Source organism: Homo sapiens, chromosome 1, assembly GCF_000001405.40.
Source record: "Homo sapiens chromosome 1, GRCh38.p14 Primary Assembly".
In the NCBI taxonomy this organism is placed as follows: Eukaryota; Metazoa; Chordata; class Mammalia; order Primates; family Hominidae; genus Homo; species Homo sapiens.
The window spans coordinates 114,766,985-114,785,894 of record NC_000001.11 but is presented as its reverse complement, the minus strand read 5'-3'; the positions used below and the strand labels follow the sequence as shown (position 1 = coordinate 114,785,894).

The window sequence follows — 18,910 nt, the reverse complement described above, 5'->3', positions numbered from 1 at the left end:
TCACTGCTATTCCCATCAAGCTACCATTGACTTTCTTCACAGAACTAGAAAAAACTACTTTAGATTTCATATGGAACCAAAAAAGAGCCCATATAGCCAAGACAATCCTAAGCAAAAGAACAAAGCTGGAGGCATCACACTACCTGATTTCAAACTATACTACAAGGCTACAGTAACCAAAACAGCATGGTACTGATAGCAACACAGATATATAGACCAATGGAACAGAACAGAGGCCTCAGAAATAACACCACACATCTACAACCATCTGATCTTCGGCAAACCTGACAAAAACAAGCAATGGGGAAAGGATTCCCTACTTAATAAATGGTGATGGGAAAACTGGCTAGCCATATGCAGAAAACAGAAACTGGGCCCCTTCCTTATGCCTTAAACAAAAATTAACTCAAGGTGGATTAAAGACTTAAACATAAAACCTAAAACCATAAAAACCCTAGAAGAAAACCTAAGTAATATCATTCAGGACATAGGCATGGGCAAAGACTTCAAGTCTAAAACACCAAAAGCAATTTCAGCCGCAGCCAAAATTGACAAATGGGATCTAATTAAACTAAGAGCTTCTGCTCAGCAAAAGAAACTATCGTCAGTGTGAACAGGCAACCTACAGAATGGGAGAAAATTTTTGCAATCTATCCGTCTGACAAAGGGCTAAACTCCAGAATCTAAAAGGAACTTAAACAAATTTACAAGAAAAAAAAAACCCAATCAAAAAGTGGCAAAGGATATGAACAGACACTTCTCAAAAGAAGACATTTATACCTGGTGTGGTGGCTTACGCCTGTAATCCCAGCACTTTGGGAGGCTGAGGCGGACGGATCATGAGGTCAGGAGATCAAGACCATCCTGGCTAACACTGTGAAAGCTCATCTCTACTAAAAATACAAAAAAAAAAAAAAATTAGCCAGGCGTGGTTGTGAGCGCCTGCAGTCCCAGCTACTCTGGAGGCTGAGGGAGGAGAATGGCGTGAACCCGGGAGGCGGAGCTTGCAGTGAGCCGAGATCGTACCACTGCTCTCCAGCCTGGGGGACAGTGCAAGACTCTCTCTCAAAAAAAAAAAAAGAAGACATTTATGGGGCCAACAAACATATAAAAAAAACCTCATCATTACTGGTCATTAGAGAAATGCAAATCAAAACCACAATCAGATACCATTTTATGCCAGTTAGAATGGCAATCATTAAAAACTCAGGAAACAACAGATGCTGGTGAGGATGTGAAGAAATAGGAACGCTTTTACACTGTTGGTGGGAGTGTAAATTAGTTCAACCATTGTGGAAGACAGTATGGCGATTCCTCAAGGATCTAGAACCAGAAATTCCATCTGACCCAGCAATCCCATTACTGGGTATATACCAAAAGGATTATAAATCATTCCAAAGGATTATAAATCATGCACACGTATGTTTATTGCAGCACTATTTACAATAGCAAAAATTTGGAACCAACCCAAATGCCCATCAACGATAGACTGGATAAAGAAAATGTGGCATATATACACTATGGAATACTATGGAGCCATAAAAAAGAATGAGTTCAGCCGGGCACAGTGGCTCACGCCTATAATCCTAGGACTTTGGGAGGCTGAGGCGGGCAGATCACCTGAGGTTGGGAGTTTGAGACAAGCCTGACTAACATGGAGACACCCCATCTCTACTAAAAATATAAAATTAGCCAGGCTTGGTGGCACATGCCTGTAATCCCAAATACTTGGGAGGCTGAGGCAGGAGAATCGCTTGAACCTAGGAGACAGTGGTTGCAGTGTGCCGAGATCGCACCATTGCACTCCAGCCTGGACAACAAGAGTGAAACTCTGTCTCAAAAAGAAAAAAAAAAAAAAAAGAATGAGTTCATGTCCTTTGCAGGGACATGGATGAACCTGGAAACCATCACCCTCAGCAAACTAACACAGGAACAGAAAACCAAACACCAAATGTTCTCACTCATAAGTGGGAGTTGAACGATAAGAACGCATGGACAAAGGGAGGGGAACATCTCACACCCGGGCCTGTTGGGGGGTGGGGGGCAGGGGGAGGGAGAGCATTAGGACAAATACCTAATGCATGTGGGGCTTAAAACCTAGATGATGGGTTGATAGGTACAGCAAACCACCATGGCACATGTATACCTATGTAACAAACCTACATGTTCTGCACATGTATCCCAGAACTTAAAGTAAAATAAAAATAAAAATAATGAATGATTCCCTAGGTTTAAATAAGGTTTTCCTAAGGTGTTGGTTTACTCTTAATGAAATTAAAGGAAATTTTGCTTTTTAATTCTATCACCTATTTTTTTTTAAAACTTCTCAGATTCATATCTCAGAAGTTCAGCTTTTGTTGTGTCTGGCTGTTTTCAGTTTTTTCCTCCCTTTGAAAAGGACACTCTCCTTCAACTTTTTCCATCAGCTCCTCTAATTCTTTTTCCTCTGATTCTAACTGTTGGGGCCTGATGCTGAAATGTTTTATCTTAGAAGTCTATAAAAGCAGTGTTTTCCTCCAATATAACTTGATTCTGTACTCCCGGCTTTTCTTGATATGTGATTTTCGTTGTAATCAGGAAACTTCTCACGCAATTGCTCAGAGAGATGTATTCCCTTGCTATACTCATAAGCATGAATACACTCTTCTTGTGTCTGATTAAATTCAAGCACTTTTTTCAAGTATGACTTTCAGGTTACCTACATGGTCTTCCCATAAGGAGAAGCAGTCACACAGCAGAAGGGGTTTTTTGCCTGTGTAGTAACTTGCTTAAGAAACAAGATTTTAATGTTTTATCAAATAATTCCCATGCTCTCTTTAATGGGTTTTTAATTGCCTAGAAAAACTGAGATTTAAAAGGGTTCAGGTTTTTATGTCCTGGTAACCTTCTCAATTGCCTTTAAAGTCTTTAATTATCAGTTTGGTTAAATGAGTAACTATTATTTTTACAATGAATATTATCTTGTTTTGATCAAATGTTTTGAGGCTTTTAAAATCTTTGACCAATGTCCTCAAAATCAAAATCGTAAATTAAGTCTCTGACTTATTGCTGGGGTTTATCGAAGCTATAAAAATTAATCACTGCAAGGTTGTAAAATATTTTTACAGCTTCCAGTCAGGTCATAGACTCCGGTATCACACCTCCAGCTCCTTGAAAAGGTCCTTATCAGGTGATATTAACTAATCCTTGTGCTTTTAAGTTATAGGGACTTACACATATCTCATCCAAAGAAGGCATCAACTCCTGCCAGTATCTGACACTAAACTGCAATTAACCAAAGCCTCATCGTTAGACTCAGGCAAAGGCGACAAAGTAAACTGCTTTCATGAGACACAGGGACAGTCTTGTGTTCAAAAATATTAAGATTCATTTAACAATTCTGCCTCTATCTGAATTAATATAATTTATTCTGTGCCTTGATACTAAATAATTTAAGTGTTTAGCTACCTATGAACTTCTTTTCCTGTTATTCTCAAAACTAGGCAGGGTTTATGACCTTTGTGTTTGAAATGTTGTTAATTCTTTCTGTTTTGTTTTACCTACAAAAGTTGAAACTCTTCAATCCCGCCATGCCTAGAGACTATAACGTAATGTTGTAAGGGCCAGTATTGAGAGCTAAAATTAGTTCAGACCCTACAAATCAAGGATGACACAGATGCCAAAACAGCTAAACAAAATGCTTGCATTTTGTATAGCTAATTGCAACAAGCCAAGATTACAGCAGCTCAATGCATAGAATTTATAGATAAGTCAATTTTGTAACCCTTGCCTTTTGGTTTTTGCCTCTTAACATTGCTTAAGAGGGGTTTTAAGGTTAATGAGTGCCTGCCCACCTCCTTCCCATCTGACCTAGAACGTTTAATTGGCTGTAACTCTTTTGACTCTAAGTCAGTTGGCCGCAGGAGGGACATGATGGACTCAGGGCAGGTAGCACACCACCCTGGCATTGATATGGGACAAAATTAAAGTTTGGACACTGATACTGTCTCTGGGATACCTTGACCAAAAAAAAAAAAAAAGTGGAATGCTGTTTTGAAGGCATGAGCCTAGCCATTCCCCATCTGCGAGCATTTGATTAGTAAAGCTTTCACCACAGGTCACTTCTCATGTTTTTGGCCTCTAGGCAGCAAGCAGCCAGACGTGAGCCAGTTGCAATAGCAGCATTATTGACAATAGCAAAAGGTGGAAGCAACCCAACTGTCCATCCACGGATGAATGGATAAACAAAACGTGGTATATATATATTATTCAGCCTTAAAAAGGAAGGAAATTCTAACATATGCTACTATATGGATGAAACTCGTGGACATTACACTAAGTGAAATAAGGCAGTTATATAAATACAAATGCTGTATGATTTCACTCATGTCAGGTACCCAGAATAGTCAGATTTGTAGAGACACAAAGTAGAATGGTGGCTGCCAGGAGCTGGGGATAAGGAAGAATGAGGAATTATTGTTTAATGAGTACAGAACTTCAGTACTGCAAGATGAAAGAGTTCTAGAGATGGATGCTGATGGTGGCTGTATAACAATATGAATGTACAACTGAACTGTACACTTATAAATGGCTGAGATATTAAATTTTATGTGTATTTTGCCACAATTTAAAAAAAATTAAATGAAAGTAGGCCAGGCGCGGGGGCTCACACCTGTAATCCCAGCACTTTGGGAGGCCGAGGCGGGCGGATCACTTGAGGTCAGGAGTTCGAAACCGGCCTGGCCAACATGTGAAACCCCGTTTCTACTAAAAATAGAAAAATCAGCCGGCGTGGTGGCGCATGCCTGTAATCCCAGCTACTCGAGAGGCTGAGGCAGGAGAATCGCTTGAACCCTGGAGGCAGAGGTTGCAATGAGCCAAGATCGCGCCACTGCACTCCAGCCTGGACAAGAGCAAGATTCCGTCTCAAAAAAGAAAAAAATAATGAAAATAAAAAGAAACTAACTGTGACTGAAGAACAACCCACATCAATGAAAACCAGTAGGGAAAGGAGACCTTCCCACTGCCCAGCTAATCATAGCCTGACCACCAGGCTGTGGTAACTGGAAACCAACGGCGTGGCAAGTGTAGGTCTGGGGCTCCGCGCAAGGAAGGACTGCAAGGAAGCCGCAGGTTAAAGCGGGTCAACCCGCAAAATAGGCTGCCACTGCGCAGGCGCCCATTGCGCCTACCAAGACACCTTGTAAACGTGCCCGGAAATGACGCCTGTAATGCTGAGACAGACTCCCAGAAGATCTGAGCGAGTCGCGTAGCTGAGCCCGGCAGGGGCTGGGGTGGTGCTGCTGCTATGAGCTGCACCATCGAGAAGATCCTGACAGACGCCAAGACGCTGCTGGAGAGGCTACGGGAGCACGATGCGGCCGCCGAGTCGCTGGTGGATCAGTCGGCGGCGCTGCACCGGCGGGTAGCAGCTATGCGGGAGGCGGGGACAGCGCTTCCGGACCAGGTCAGGCAGAGGGTAGGAGTCCAGTGCTCTCGGATTCTGGGCACTGAAGGGTGGAGAGCGAGGTAAAGTGGGAACTCGGCCTGGAATTTATTCCCGGTCTCAGAGGGCGGCGGTGAGACCATTTTCCTGGGTCGGGGCTGAGAATCCTGCCCTGGAGCCCTAACTTCTGCCTCTTCAGTTGCATCTGCCGCTGTTCTCTTTAAGGCATGCTTAGTCTGTCTCTATTTGTCCAGTATCAAGAGGATGCATCCGATATGAAGGACATGTCCAAATACAAACCTCACATTCTGCTGTCCCAAGAGAACACACAGATTAGAGACTTGCAACAGGAAAACAGAGGTTAGTCAGGCCTTTTCATATCTGGTAATAGTTTAAAGTTATTGCAAAATTGCCCTAAACATTTACAAAAGTGTACATATATTTCCAGGTCAGTACTTTTAGTAGGAGAGTCCTCCTGATCTGGCCCAGTAACAATAAAGTTTGTTAGATTACCCTTTTCAAGGTCATCTGACTAATATTGCAGCAGCTTACCAAAGAGGTGCTGTGTAGAGTTGGTATTATTGCATGGTTTATTTTTAAGCATCCTCAGATGTGTAACAAAAGAGTTCATAGCCTCATGGACTTAAAATTTAATGTTTAAGTATTAATATAAACACTGAAGGTAAGATTTAAGGTTTTGTTTATGTTCTTGTTTGTGCAAGGTGAAGCAGCAGAATTTTATTCTAAGGGTATATATTCTTAGGCTTGATTAGTACATTATTAATGATTGTGGTATTAATAGTTGTTTACCAGAGGGGTTTCACATATATCATTCTACTGTATTCTCATATCTTCATTTTTATCTACCACAATGCAGTTAAGAAATAGGCTCAGAAGAAGCTAAATGATTTACTTATGAGTATTAACCAAGCAAGTTACAGAACTGAACTCAAACACATGTCTTCTGATGATACATCCATTGTTGTTTCTGCAAGACTTTGCTTCTCTGCCTAGAAAGTTACCTTTCACATAGACTTTAACTGTTCAGTTTTGCGGACTTAAACATTGATTTACAACTTTAGATTCATATTATCTATATAGTGTTACAAAATTCCAACTGTTAAGACTTTGGATTTGGGAACTGTCTCTCAGACATCACTGCCAAGTTCTTTTATTTTTTGACAGAGCTATGGATTTCCTTGGAGGAACACCAGGATGCTTTGGAACTTATCATGAGCAAATATCGGAAACAGATGTTACAGTTAATGGTTGCTAAAAAAGCGGTGGATGCTGAACCAGTCCTGAAAGCTCACCAGTCTCACTCTGCAGTAAGAAACTTTGAATAAATTCGAAATGAACCAAATTGAAATCTTGAGATTGTTTTAGATTGTGTGCTTGTTTTTTTGCTTTGTGAGATAGGGTCTGGCTCTTGTCGACCAGGCCGTGGTGTAATGGCACGATCTCGGCTCACTGCAACCTCTGCCTCCTGGGCTCAAGCCATCGTCTCACCTCTGCCTCCGGAGCAGCTGGGACTACAGGTGCACACCACCACGCCCTGTTAATTTTTGTGGGGTTGTTTGTTTGTTTGTTTGTTTGTTTGTTTTTTGGTAGAGATGACATTTCGCCATGTTGCCCAGGCTGGTCTGAAACTCCTGGGCTCAAGCGATCCACCCACGTTAGCCTTCCAAAGTGCTGGGATTATAGGCATGAACCACTGCGCCTGGCCATGTGTGCTTGTTTTTGAAGAAAAGTAAGCTCATTTTCCTTTCATGTTTATCACATTTGTTGTTTATTTTGCCATGGCTTTGTAAAGATATGAATAGAAAGAAGGAGGATAGGGGCTGCTCAGATCCTTTTATTTGAGTGGGACTAAGGTTCCCCCTCCCTCACCAAGATCTCTTTTGAAAATGTTCATTAATTCTTAGCGCTCCCACCAAACATAATGCCAGTTAGTGTTGAAGCTGCCTGGTAAACACTTGGTTGGTTATTACTTATACATTTAACTTAAGCTCCTTGCTTGTAAGGCGCATGAATTCACATTTTATTCCTAACATAGTACCTGACATACAGCAGGCAGTCAGTAAACCTTTTATAAACTGAACCACATAGTATCATACTATGTTGTTAGGGGAGAGAAGTATGGTTTTTTAAAAAAACAAACATGGCATAGTTTCTGTTCTTTGCTAATTTGGGAGACTCAGTAATTGTTCTTATGTTTATAGGTGCTTCATGGTTGTCATTGTACATTCTTGTGTACTGTATCATTTAATTCTAGATGTATAGGGTTGGAGCCTACTACTTCTGTGAGATGTAGTGAAATATAAGCTTCATCTTAAATTCCATTGAATGCATTTTACTGACTTAAAAGTTTTAGGAAACAGATATTTTAAATATTTGAATGGCTTTCATCTGGAAGAGAAAAATAGATTTTCTTCTCGTATGGAGGAAAAAACTTGAACCTTGAAAGAGACAGAGTTTACTCAGATAGATAAACTTTCTAAGTGATATGTCCAAAGATGGAATAAAGCACCTTGGAATGTAGTAAGCTTCCTGCCAGTAAAAGTATTCAAATTTAAGTTAAACAGCCACTTAGAGATAGTATCCAACATCCAATGGGTAGTTAAACTACAATTGATTTTTTTTTTCCATTTCAAATCTTTTTATTGGAGTGTGGACCTACTGGGGGATTGATGCACTGGACATAGATAATTTTCAGAAATGAAAATAACATTGCTTGCATCGAATCAGATTTCACCCACAAAAATGACTAAGGCCTTACCAGAGTTGGCATTGGATGAAACCTTAGTCCTTTATGGAAAGGGAATCATGTGGCCTTCTATTTCTGAAATAGACTAAAGATTACTCATTTATTCTCTGCAATTACAGCCATCAGATCCTTTGAAATCTTGGAAGGCATGAGATGATGACATGAGTGTAACACAAATCCATATTGAAGAGCCCAGTATTTTAAAATTCCCCATGTTCACATACCAAAGGGTTACTTATGAGCTGATGCATATCACAGATAACCATATGATTATCAACTTGATGTCTGGGCAAAGAGCGAAAACAGAAAATGCATTCTACTCTTCACTTCTTGGTTTTAAATATAAGAAACATTATATATATTTTAAAAAACTGTATTCCTTAGTAGTGGTATCAATAGAACATATACAACTGGAATGAGGATCCCCTTAAGGAGGCCTTTTTTTTGTTTGTTTTTTAAATAAGTTCTAGGGTACATGTGCAAAACGTGCAGGTTTGTTAACATATGTATACATGTGCCATGATGGTGTGCTGCACCCATTAACTCGTCCTTTACATTAGGTATTCCTCCTAATGCTATCCGTCCCCACTCCCCCAACCCTATGACAGGCCCCGGTGTGTGATGTTCCCCACCCTGTGTCCAAGTGTTCTCATTGTTCAATTCCCACCTATGAGTGAGAACATGCGGTGTTTGGTTTTCTGTCTTTGTGATAGTTTGCTCAGAATGATGGTTTCCAGCTTCATCCATGTCCCTACAAAGGACATGAACTCATCCTTTTTTATGGCTGCATAGTATTCCATGGTATATATGTGCCACATTTTCTTAATCCAGTCTATCATTGATGGACATTTGGGTTGGTTCCAAGTCTTTGCTATTGTGAATAGTGCCGCAATAAACATGTGTGCATGTGTCTTTATAGTAGCATGATTTACAATCCTTTGGGTATATACCCAGTAATGGGATTGCTGGGTCAAATGGTATTTCTAGTTCTAGATCCTTGAGGAATCACCACACTGTCTTCCACAATTGATTTTTTGAAAGAAAAAAAAAAAAATATCCGTGAATACAAGGTCACTTTACTATGGCTTCATGTCTGAGGACTAAAATTGTAGGGAAACTCCATTGTAACTTCTGTATCATAGATTAAATGAACTTTTAAAAATCGTAATGCACATGCTTTTACGTTCTTTATATCTACAGAACAGGTGATTTTTCCACCTTTGTTTCCTTAATATCTTCACAGGAAATTGAGAGTCAGATTGACAGAATCTGTGAAATGGGAGAAGTGATGAGGAAAGCAGTTCAGGTGGATGATGACCAGTTTTGTAAGATTCAGGAAAAATTAGCCCAATTAGAGGTAAGATTGTAGCTAATTTAGGTTCACAGTATTTCATAGTTTTCCGAGTCTGGAAGATATGCCATCACTATCCCATCACTGTAATATATTGATGTTTTCTGTGTGCTCATGATTTAAAATTAAAACTCCTCCTTCATACCCTTTTATACCCTTTTGAAGAAAGGAAATATAGTAAACAGCAATCAATGGAAATACCAACTATGTATTGGCAAGAACTTGAGGTATTATCATATGGGAAGGTAGAGGGAGTGGAGGGGAGAAGTTATATGTGAGATAAAATCCTTCATCTGCCATAATAAGAAGTGAAGTAGATAATGTCTAAAATTGATGATCAGGAAATAGCAGTATAAGCATATTATTTAGAATTACAGAATTAAATACCAAAAGAAATAGATAAAAGTGTTAAAAGTGGTTGCATTTGGGGTACAAAGCCAAAGAACTGCTTGTATAAGCCTTGTAGTCTTGATTTCTTAAAAGCTATGTTTATGTCATATTTTGATTAGAATAGGAATATGTTACAAAAAAAGTTCGGGGTATTAGTGTGCTCATAAAATTGTTAAGGAAAAACATTTCAACTTTGAGAGGCTGAGGTAAGTGAATTGCTTGAGCCCAAGAGTTCAAGAGCAGCTTGGGCAACATGGCGGAACCCTGTCTTTACAAAAAATACAGAAAATTAGCCAGGTGTGGTGGTGCACACCTGTAATCCCAGGTACTCAGAGGCTGAGGTGTGAGGATCACCTGAACCTGGGAAGTCAAGGCTGCAGTGAGCCACGATCATGCATGCCACTGCACTCCAACCGAGTGACAGAGTGAGACCCTGTCTCAAAAAAAAAAAAAAAAAAGCAAAGCATTTCAGTGAATGGTTTGAATGCTGCTTATTACAAGGTGCTGTCCTGGGGCCTTTGAGAAATACCAGAGAGAAAAAAACAGATACCTGCCCAGAGTCTAGTGGAAGGGATAACCCTAGTATTATATGATATTAAATAATATGTAAATGCTAGGAGACAGATACAAATACCGAAGGAAGCACTTCATGTGGTAGAAGATTCGTCGACCACAGGCTCTAATCTCTTAGTTACTCTAGCTGGGACTTCCGCACATCTTGGTGAAGCTAAAAATGCTTTGGTTTACCAGAGTTTTCTGCAGAGGATAAGGATGAAGAGCAGAAGCTACCCTCTCTAGAAATCAAAGGTAGTGACAGGTCCCAAGTAGGAATTAGGAGCTAGTGAAATGATAGCATGACCTTCTATTTATCCCCGATTTACCTCACTTACGGAAACAGCCCTAAGGAAATGTGGGGCAAATTCTACCTTAATACTTCAAGTAGAAAATACACGACCACCAGATTCAGACCCCAGCAATACCACATCCAAGTTGTCTGAATTTGGACAACTTTTAGGAATTTTGTGAGCCAGAGTATCCTCATCTGAAATATATGGATGTAGGCAATGATACCTACCCTACAGATTATTGTGAGATAACATATACAGGGCACCCAAGTAGTACCCAGCTACATGCTCAATAAGTAATTTCTTTCCCCCTTTCCTTCCATTTCTCTAGAACTGTAAGATATCCAGGAGAGGAGATTAATCAGAGTGAAACGATTATTAGGAATTTTTTAAATAAAAGAAATAATAGTAAAACTGTGGGAACCAAGAAGAATATAACAGTGAATTCCTTAAATGGAGAGGACCTTGTTTTTTGTTTCTCCTTTGTAATCCTAACACTTGGTATATAGAAATTACTCAGTAAATTACTACTACAAAAGAGTATCATTGCCTACATCCTACATGTAAATGTTTGTTAAATGAATAAAGTAGTATTTAAGGAAATTCTCAACTAGTGGATTTTTTGTTTCCATAAATTTTTTAAAATTAAAATAATGTTTTCTGCTCCTGGCTCAAAATAATGTGTTGTTGTAATGCAGTTGGACAGTAAAAATACCAGAAATAAACATGCCTTTTTTTTTCCAGCTTGAAAATAAGGAACTTCGAGAATTATTGTCCATCAGCAGTGAGTCTCTTCAAGCCAGAAAGGAAAACTCAATGGACACTGCTTCCCAAGCCATCAAATAACTGAACTCTGAATGATGGCTGGAGATTGTCTATCAAGGAAGGAAGTTACTGTCTTCCCATTCAAGTACTGTCCATTAAGTGTCTTGCCTCAGATTTGATTTAATCTTAATTAAAGGTATCAGGTGGCAATTTAGAATTCCAGTCAATATTGGCTGTCCACAGTTCTCAGATGTGTTAATGTGAATACTACATGCTGAATTTCACCATTCCTTTCTCAAAGAGACTACTTTTAATTTTCATTTCTGGGACCTTGATTTATATAAACTATGTTTTCAGTTCTTTGTTATTTTTCACATCTCTGAAACTTTGAGCATTTTTTATAAGCCAGCAATTTATTTTACATAGCATTGTAAAATACACTTCTAGGAAATTTTAGGAAAGATTTAACTGTTTAAATCTATTTGGCATAAACCTTGATTTTTTTTTTCCATTTGACAAAAATAATACAATTCCACAGAACTAGATCAGCAGATTCTCTGATTTGTAATGTCATTCACCTGTGACATTTTAAGTCTCTCTGGTGCTAAGAATTGGCACTTTATAGCCTGGTGCCTTTACTTTTAATTTGAGAGAACCTACTGCTAGTCCCAGGAAACACACTTGGAAATAAGTCAGCTATTTTTTTTGCCCAGTGATGCTATAGTTGTCATATTGTCCAAAGTTCATATTGTTCAAAGCTGAGGAGCTTGTCCTGTGTATGTGAATGCACACATGTGCACTTAGTTCAAATACTAAAAGTAGCTTTTATTAAATATAATCAGCCAAAAACACACACAAAATAAAAAAAACAAATATAAGTAGTCAGTTTTTCAATGTTATCCTACTAGTTCTACATTCTATTTTAATTTTTATACAATTTCCATTTTATAGTTAAGAACCATCACTTACTTGGATTGGATGTCTTTCATTCCTAGCACTAATAGTTGGCTTTCTTTTTTTTTGTTTACATAGAAGCAGGGTTTTTTTTTATCTTTTTTCTTTTTTTTTGTTTAAGCTATATAAAAAGGTGAGGAAGCAGTTTTGTTACCTAATGAAAATTATTACACTCATAATGCTGTGTAGGCAACATTGAGATTCAAATGCCCAGTGGTCAACTGGGTTCACTCATCAACTCATTCCCGTCCCAGTTTACTCACATTTCAAATTTATAAATTTCTTCATGTTATACTATTCTATTTAGATTTGCCCAGAATTAGTTGAAATAATGCTAAACCTGTCAATATTTTCCAGTAACATTAAGCACCATACTGCATGGGAGAGACACAGTACTAAAAAGAGTTGTTAGTGCTTTATGTGAGTGATATTTCTTTCGTAATGCTATAAAGAACTACAGTTAAAATAACAAAATATTTTAAAGATGTCCTAAAAGCATCTGATCCCAGTAATAACTAATGGATGTCATCTAGAGCAGTGGGTGTTAATGAATAGGTATATGTCATTTAAGAATTTTTCAAATTTCTGTTTGATATCCTGCATAGAATTTGACAAAAAAAACACTTCCAAGTGTGAGCATTTTTTATTTCATTTCCCAAGAGTAAGTAAGTAACTATTAGCCCAGCCATCTGCCTCGAAGTATACCTTAAGTGACCCCATAAATCCATTCAAGAGGCAGGTACTCTATACCATTTGGCAGCCACGGCCAAACCTACCATGGCCAGATTTCAGTGAAAATGATGAAGTAATCAAATCAAGGTATAATATGGTGTCCCTTTATGTGCTTTATGTTCCTTTAGAGCTGTTTATAAAGTTCTTTATATCTCAAGTGTTAGGATAAATCGACATACTAACTTTTCCCCCTGCAAAATTAAAAGCCTGAGGTACAAGTCTAAGAAGCTTTTAGTGCTCTACATAATATAAATTCTGGCTGGTGTTAATGCTATGAAGATAATATGTAGTTAGAAAATTGAGTCGGGGAGGAATGCTCTTCATTTTAAGTGGATTTTAAAGTTTCTCCTTGAGTGGATGAAGAACTTGCCTGGTTTGCAAAAATCTTAGTTCAAAATTATATTTTCTAACAAAAACTGCATTTTGAGAAGATAAGCTAATTTTACTCAGTAGTAAGTCAAATGAGGAAGTGCAGAGGGTTTTTTTACATATATATAGCAACCTTGTCAAGTGGTCCTCACAAGAGTCATAAATACTTTGTAATTAGCACAGTATATTCAGCAGTGTATAACTCTACAAATAGTACCTTATATTAGTGTAGTATTATATCAATATCTTATGTATAATTCTTATATTAATACCTTATGCATAATTGGATTCAAACATTGAAGGTCTATTTTAGTGTTCTTCAAAATGTGCTTCCCTGACCTACTGAAATAGAAACTTGGTGATGAAGTTCAAGAATTTGTATTCTAATCATCTCAAACAATTCCTAAAGACACTGATTTTAAAATATCTAGTCTAGGCCCCATTGTGTAATAGTTAGCACTCTAAAAGATGAAAAAGAAAATAGTCTATGTGCCAACCACTTCATTAGTACTTATGAATTTAAAAATGAAAAAGTCTGGTACAGGAGACAAGTATATATATAAAATTATAATGCAGTGTGATAAATCCATTATAGTATGTATAAGATACAGAAGAGGGACTTTAAACTTGAGAATTCAATAGAGATAATAAATGGGTAGGAGGGAAATAGAAAACTTTGGTGCCACAAAAGCAAAGTATGTATGGTATTGCCAATAATAGCTACCATCTATTGAGTGCTTTACTACCTGTCAGGTACTGTATTATATAAACTCCATTTTAACTGTACCTCATTTTGCAGATACTCAGGCACAAGGAGGTGGTTATTTGTCCAAACTGGAACCAAGATTCAAACCCAGACAGAGTCTTAAGCACATTTTTAATCACTAACTAACTTGAGATGCCTAAATGCCAAATACTGTTGGGAGTTCAAGTGGTTCTTGATTAGCAAAATCTATTTTTATTAGTGCAAAAGAAACACCACAGCTTATAAAGTATTATGAATTCAATAAATGGAGTCTTAACTAATGAGATATTATTTTCTAGAATGGTGTAGCTGAGAGTATGTGTGATTCAACTGAAAGGAATAATGTTTAATCAGTGACTCTTACTATATACAGGAAAAGGTGCAGTTCTGTCTTTCAAATCTGCCTCCTTACCATATTGGCTTACATCCCTCATGCTGTTTTCTTGTGTTTGCTAGAAAGTTGTTGCCAAGCCAAATGTCATGGCCATGTTGAAGGCAAGGAAGAAAAAATGGAAATGGCCTGTGCCAGCTATATATATCGCCTTTTATGAGGGAAAGCAAAGCTTTCTCAGAAATCCCAAATGGATTTTCCCTTGACTTAATTGCCTGACCAGTTAAATGGCCACTGGTACCTGCAAAGAAAGCAGGGTACATAGCTGTCCCAAATAAAATCAGTATTAGCAAGAAGAAAGAATATTGAGAAAGCAATTAACAGTGTCTGTGACTGTGACATGTCTGTGACTTTATATTGTCAAGTCCTTTCCCCTTGAATATAGTTTTGGAAGAATTAGCTGAAGGAGTGTGTTGACATTGAATGGCCAAGAGAATGGGCTGTAGCAGACATCTGTCATTTCTCTTTTGGCTGCCCAGTATCCTAACTCCTGTGTTTAAGGAATCCCTCACCTAATGAGGCAGAGCATTTCTTCCTCCTAAAGAATTTGAAAGTACCAGGTAATGTTTTCTCAGCCTCCTTTTGCAGCTAAGGAAGAAACATCTGCCTTCAATTTTAAAATTAGTGATACAAAGAAGGAGGGAACCATGCAGATTCCTTTGAAGATGGTGATTAACAACACTACTGCATTCATCTCCACAGAGGTACAGCAAAAGTGATTTAGTTAGCGATAACCTCTAATTCTATTTTTTTATTTTTATTTTTTGAGACAGTCTTGCTCTGTCAACCAGGCTGGAGTGCAGTAGCACTGTCTTAACTCACTGCAACCTCCACCTCCTGGGTTCAAGCGATTCTCCTGCCTCAGCCTCCCAAGTCGCTGGGATTACAAGTGCCCACCACCATGCACAGCTAATTTTTGTGTTTTTAGTAGATGGGGTTTCTCCATGTTGGCCAGGCTGGTCTCGAACTTATGACTTCAGGTGATCCGCCCGCCTTGGCCTCCCAAAGTGCTGGGATTATAGGCGTGAGCCACTGTGCCTGGCCTGTAACCTCTAATTCTTGTTTGCTGGCTGTCCTAGAGATCCTGAGAATTACTTTTAATAAAATCATTTTTTTGCTGTTATTAAAACTAACCTGAATTGCCTAAAACCAAGAACTCTGCTTGATAAAATAAGCATAGTTTTAGGAACAGCCATGCAGATATAAATTTTATCAACACTTTATACATAATTTGGGACTTATATTTAAATGTAATATTTGATGCTTATAAAAGGGTAAATGGGGAATGCAAATAAATTATCAAGCATAATAACTCATCACCTAACTTAAGAATAACATTATGAGTGCTTGTATTTTATCTATTTGAGCTCTTCTCCTATCTTTGCCGACCCCCCCGCTCTCTTTTTAATAGATTTGTTCGAATGTAGAAAGACCTAAAATACATATGTATCCCTAAAGTGACTTATTTTATAGTTTTCTTTCTTTTTGAACTTCAAAAAAATTGTATCATACTCTATGTAGTCTAAGGATTTGGTTTTTTTCACTCAACATGTCTCTAGAATTCACAAGTTTTATTGTTTTATAGCTGTCATTTTCATTGATGTATATTTCATTGTTGGGTTATACAACATATTGTTAAGGAATACATACATATATAATAAATTATACATTTTTTAAAAAAATCCTTGCTAATATTTTACTTACTAATTTTTAATTCTCCCTTCCTGTGTCTCATTTATATTAAACACATTTAACTATAAGATGACGTATTTCACATTCTGCAGTTATTTCACTGATAATATCTCATGGCAACTTTCAGAGTGAATTAAGGGGTATTATCTGCTAATATAGGAAAAAGCAGATAATGCTTTTTGTTTTGTCACTCCTGTAATGCTGAAGAGGAGGCAGAACCTTCAGAGTTTCAATTAGCTACAACTTCACTCAAAATTTCATCTAGGCTCGTATAAATATGTGTGGAACTAATTGATGAATGTTTGTATGTTACTGATTGTAACATTCATTTCTATTTCTTATTTTAACATCTTTGATATTGGGATATGTCTTACACAGGTACAGGTTCCGATGTGGTTGATTGTAAGCATATACAAAATTGGTTTGCACTTATGGTGGATGACTGGACAAAGGCAATCTGAATATTTCAGTCAAACTCAGGACCATGTGAAAAAAGAACATGGGTTTTGGCCATTTTCTGTTCTTTCCATTGACACCTTTTTATCAAGAGTGTGCCACCACACAAATTTGGAGTATGGCTGGCTGTATTAGTTTTCTACTGCTATATAACAAATTACCACAAATAACAGTTTAGAGCAACATCCACGTATTATCTCACAGTTCTGTAGGTCTGAAGTCCATGCAGGGCTCAAATGGGTTCTCCTCTCTTGCACTCACAAGGCTAAAATCAAGGTGTCAGCTGAAGCCAGCATCCCGTATGAGGCTCCAGTCTCTCTCCCACGTTCACGTAATTATTGACAAAATCCATTTCAGTACAGCTCTACAACTAGAAGACTCTCTTCAAGGGCAACAGGAAATATCTCTGACTTCTTGTCTCCCACCTCTAGACTCCTTTTTTTTTTTTTTTTTTGAGACGGAGTTTCGCTCCCGTTGTCCTGTTGCCCAGGCTGGAGTGCAATGGCGTGATCTCAGTTCACTGCAACCTCCACCTCCCGGGTTCAAGCAATTCTCCTGCCTTAGCCTCCCGAGTAGCTGGGATTACAGGCATGTGCCACCATGCCCGGCAAATAGACTCCCTTTTAAGAATACACCTAAGTCAGGTCCAACCAGAATATCTCCCTCTTGATTAACCCAACTGATTAGAGATCTTAATTATATCTGCAGTAATCCCTTTGCCATAAAAGAGATATAAGTGATACAGCTTCTCGTATCCACGTTTCACCTATGCTTAAGATGGGATGATACAAGACACGTACGACACCAGTGGGAATCTTGGTGGCCAGCTTGGAATTCTACCTACTCCAGTGGCTTTTAGCAGCTCAGAATAAAATCCTGGAAACCATGAAGCACTCTTTGAGGAAATGCTACATTATCAGTGTTCTTGGTGGGCTCAAAATAATTCTATGTGGGAAAACCTGGATATCTATGAACCAGAAAGATTCAGCAAGATGCACCAATGAATAGTGGGCTAAAATTTAAGCAAAAACAGGATATTTATATACGTTTGCGTTAGTTCCTAGAGTTGCCATTACAAATGAACTCAAACTGGGTGGCTTAAAACAAATTTATTCTTTCGTAGTCCTGGAGACTAGAAGTCTCAGGGAGAATGTGTTCCATGCCCCTCTCCTAGCTTCTGGGGTTGCTGGCAATTCCTGTTCCCTGATTTCTAGATGTATCACTTCAATCTCTTGTCTTCATATGGCATTCTCCCTGCATGTCTCTAGTCAGTGTATAAAATTCTCTCTTCTAAGGACGCTACTCATTGGATTCAGGCCCACTCTAATCCAGTATGACTTTATCTTAACTTGATTACCTCCACAAAGGCCCTATTTCTAAATAAGGTCATATTCTAAGGTTCTGGGTGGGAATGAATTTAGGGGGGACACTATTCAATTCAGTACATTACCAAAGCATTGCCCTGCCCCCAAATACTCACTAATTACAAAGGGAAAAGTAGTAATTTTACAATGGAGAATCCTGGCAGACATCAACTGATTAAGGTAAACATCATTAATAATACACTTCAATGGCTGGACAAGGTGGCTCACACCTGTAATCCCAGCACTTCGGGAGGCCGAGGTGGGTGGATCACCTGAGGTCAGGAGTTCAAGACCAGCCTGGTCAACATGGTGAAACCCCGTCTCTACTAAAAATGGAAAAATTAGCCGGGCGTGGTGGTGGGCGCCTATAATCCCAGCTACTTGGGAAGCTGAGGTGGGAAGATTGCTTGAACCCAGGAGGTGGATGCTGCAGTGAGTCGAGATCATGCCACTGTACTCCAACCTGAGCGACAAGCGTGACCTCATCTCAATAATAATAATTGTAATAATACACTTCAACATTATATACCCCTGATATTGAGCAATGATAGGCACATAACCTCTGTAGTGTTCCAAATAATGTATAACCTCAATCTAATCAAGAGAAAACATCAGACAAAACCAAATTGAGGGAAATCTGCAAAATAGCTGACTGATACTGTTT

The 18,910-nt window shown here is 38.5% G+C and overlaps 1 protein-coding gene across 4 annotated transcripts, besides 5 other annotated features; it reads left to right on the top strand.

The window, feature by feature from the left end:
- Nucleotides 4,828-4,947: an enhancer, noted in NCBI's record as "active region_1553". NCBI's record gives its function as "activates an Ori minimal core promoter by ATAC-STARR-seq in GM12878 lymphoblastoid cells {active_cell/tissue: GM12878}" and the evidence as "EXISTENCE:reporter gene assay evidence [ECO:0000049][PMID:35858748]".
- Nucleotides 4,828-5,457: a biological region, named in NCBI's record as "H3K27ac hESC enhancer GRCh37_chr1:115323059-115323624".
- Nucleotides 4,892-5,457: an enhancer, noted in NCBI's record as "H3K27ac hESC enhancer chr1:115323059-115323624 (GRCh37/hg19 assembly coordinates)". NCBI's record gives its function as "activates a minimal SCP1, AML or CMV promoter by ChIP-STARR-seq in naive H9 embryonic stem cells {active_cell/tissue: H9 hESC(naive)}" and the evidence as "EXISTENCE:reporter gene assay evidence [ECO:0000049][PMID:30033119]".
- Nucleotides 5,188-5,427: an enhancer, noted in NCBI's record as "active region_1552". NCBI's record gives its function as "activates an Ori minimal core promoter by ATAC-STARR-seq in GM12878 lymphoblastoid cells {active_cell/tissue: GM12878}" and the evidence as "EXISTENCE:reporter gene assay evidence [ECO:0000049][PMID:35858748]".
- On the top strand, nt 5,210-16,416 carry SIKE1 (suppressor of IKBKE 1). Of its 4 annotated transcripts, none has more exons than NR_049741.2 (5): nt 5,210-5,508; nt 5,680-5,785; nt 6,611-6,753; nt 9,436-9,549; nt 11,523-16,416. NR_049741.2 is itself a non-coding variant. In NM_025073.3 (5 exons), the coding sequence occupies exons 1-5, from the start codon at nt 5,288-5,290 to the stop codon at nt 11,622-11,624; spliced, it is 624 nt and encodes a 207-aa protein (NP_079349.2). In that variant the 5' UTR covers nt 5,210-5,287; the 3' UTR covers nt 11,625-16,416. The 4 variants fall into 4 exon arrangements, 2 of the variants coding, with proteins under 2 accessions (NP_079349.2, NP_001095866.1); NM_025073.3 differs by having other exon boundaries at nt 5,210-5,446; NM_001102396.2 differs by having other exon boundaries at nt 5,210-5,458.
- Nucleotides 5,458-6,024: an enhancer, noted in NCBI's record as "H3K27ac hESC enhancer chr1:115322492-115323058 (GRCh37/hg19 assembly coordinates)". NCBI's record gives its function as "activates a minimal SCP1, AML or CMV promoter by ChIP-STARR-seq in naive H9 embryonic stem cells {active_cell/tissue: H9 hESC(naive)}" and the evidence as "EXISTENCE:reporter gene assay evidence [ECO:0000049][PMID:30033119]".
- Nucleotides 16,417-18,910: the final 2,494 nt, after the last annotated feature.

Excerpts from the sequence above, each read along its gene's own strand:
- SIKE1 (NM_001102396.2), top strand. The coding sequence starts at position 5,288 with ATGAGCTGCACCATCGAGAAGATCCTGACAGACGCCAAGACGCTGCTG. Across the intron at positions 5,459-5,679 it reads CGGACCAGGTCAGGCAGAGG|TATCAAGAGGATGCATCCGA; the intron begins GTAGGAGTCCAG and ends CTATTTGTCCAG. Across the intron at positions 9,550-11,522 it reads AAAAATTAGCCCAATTAGAG|CTTGAAAATAAGGAACTTCG; the intron begins GTAAGATTGTAG and ends TTTTTTTTCCAG.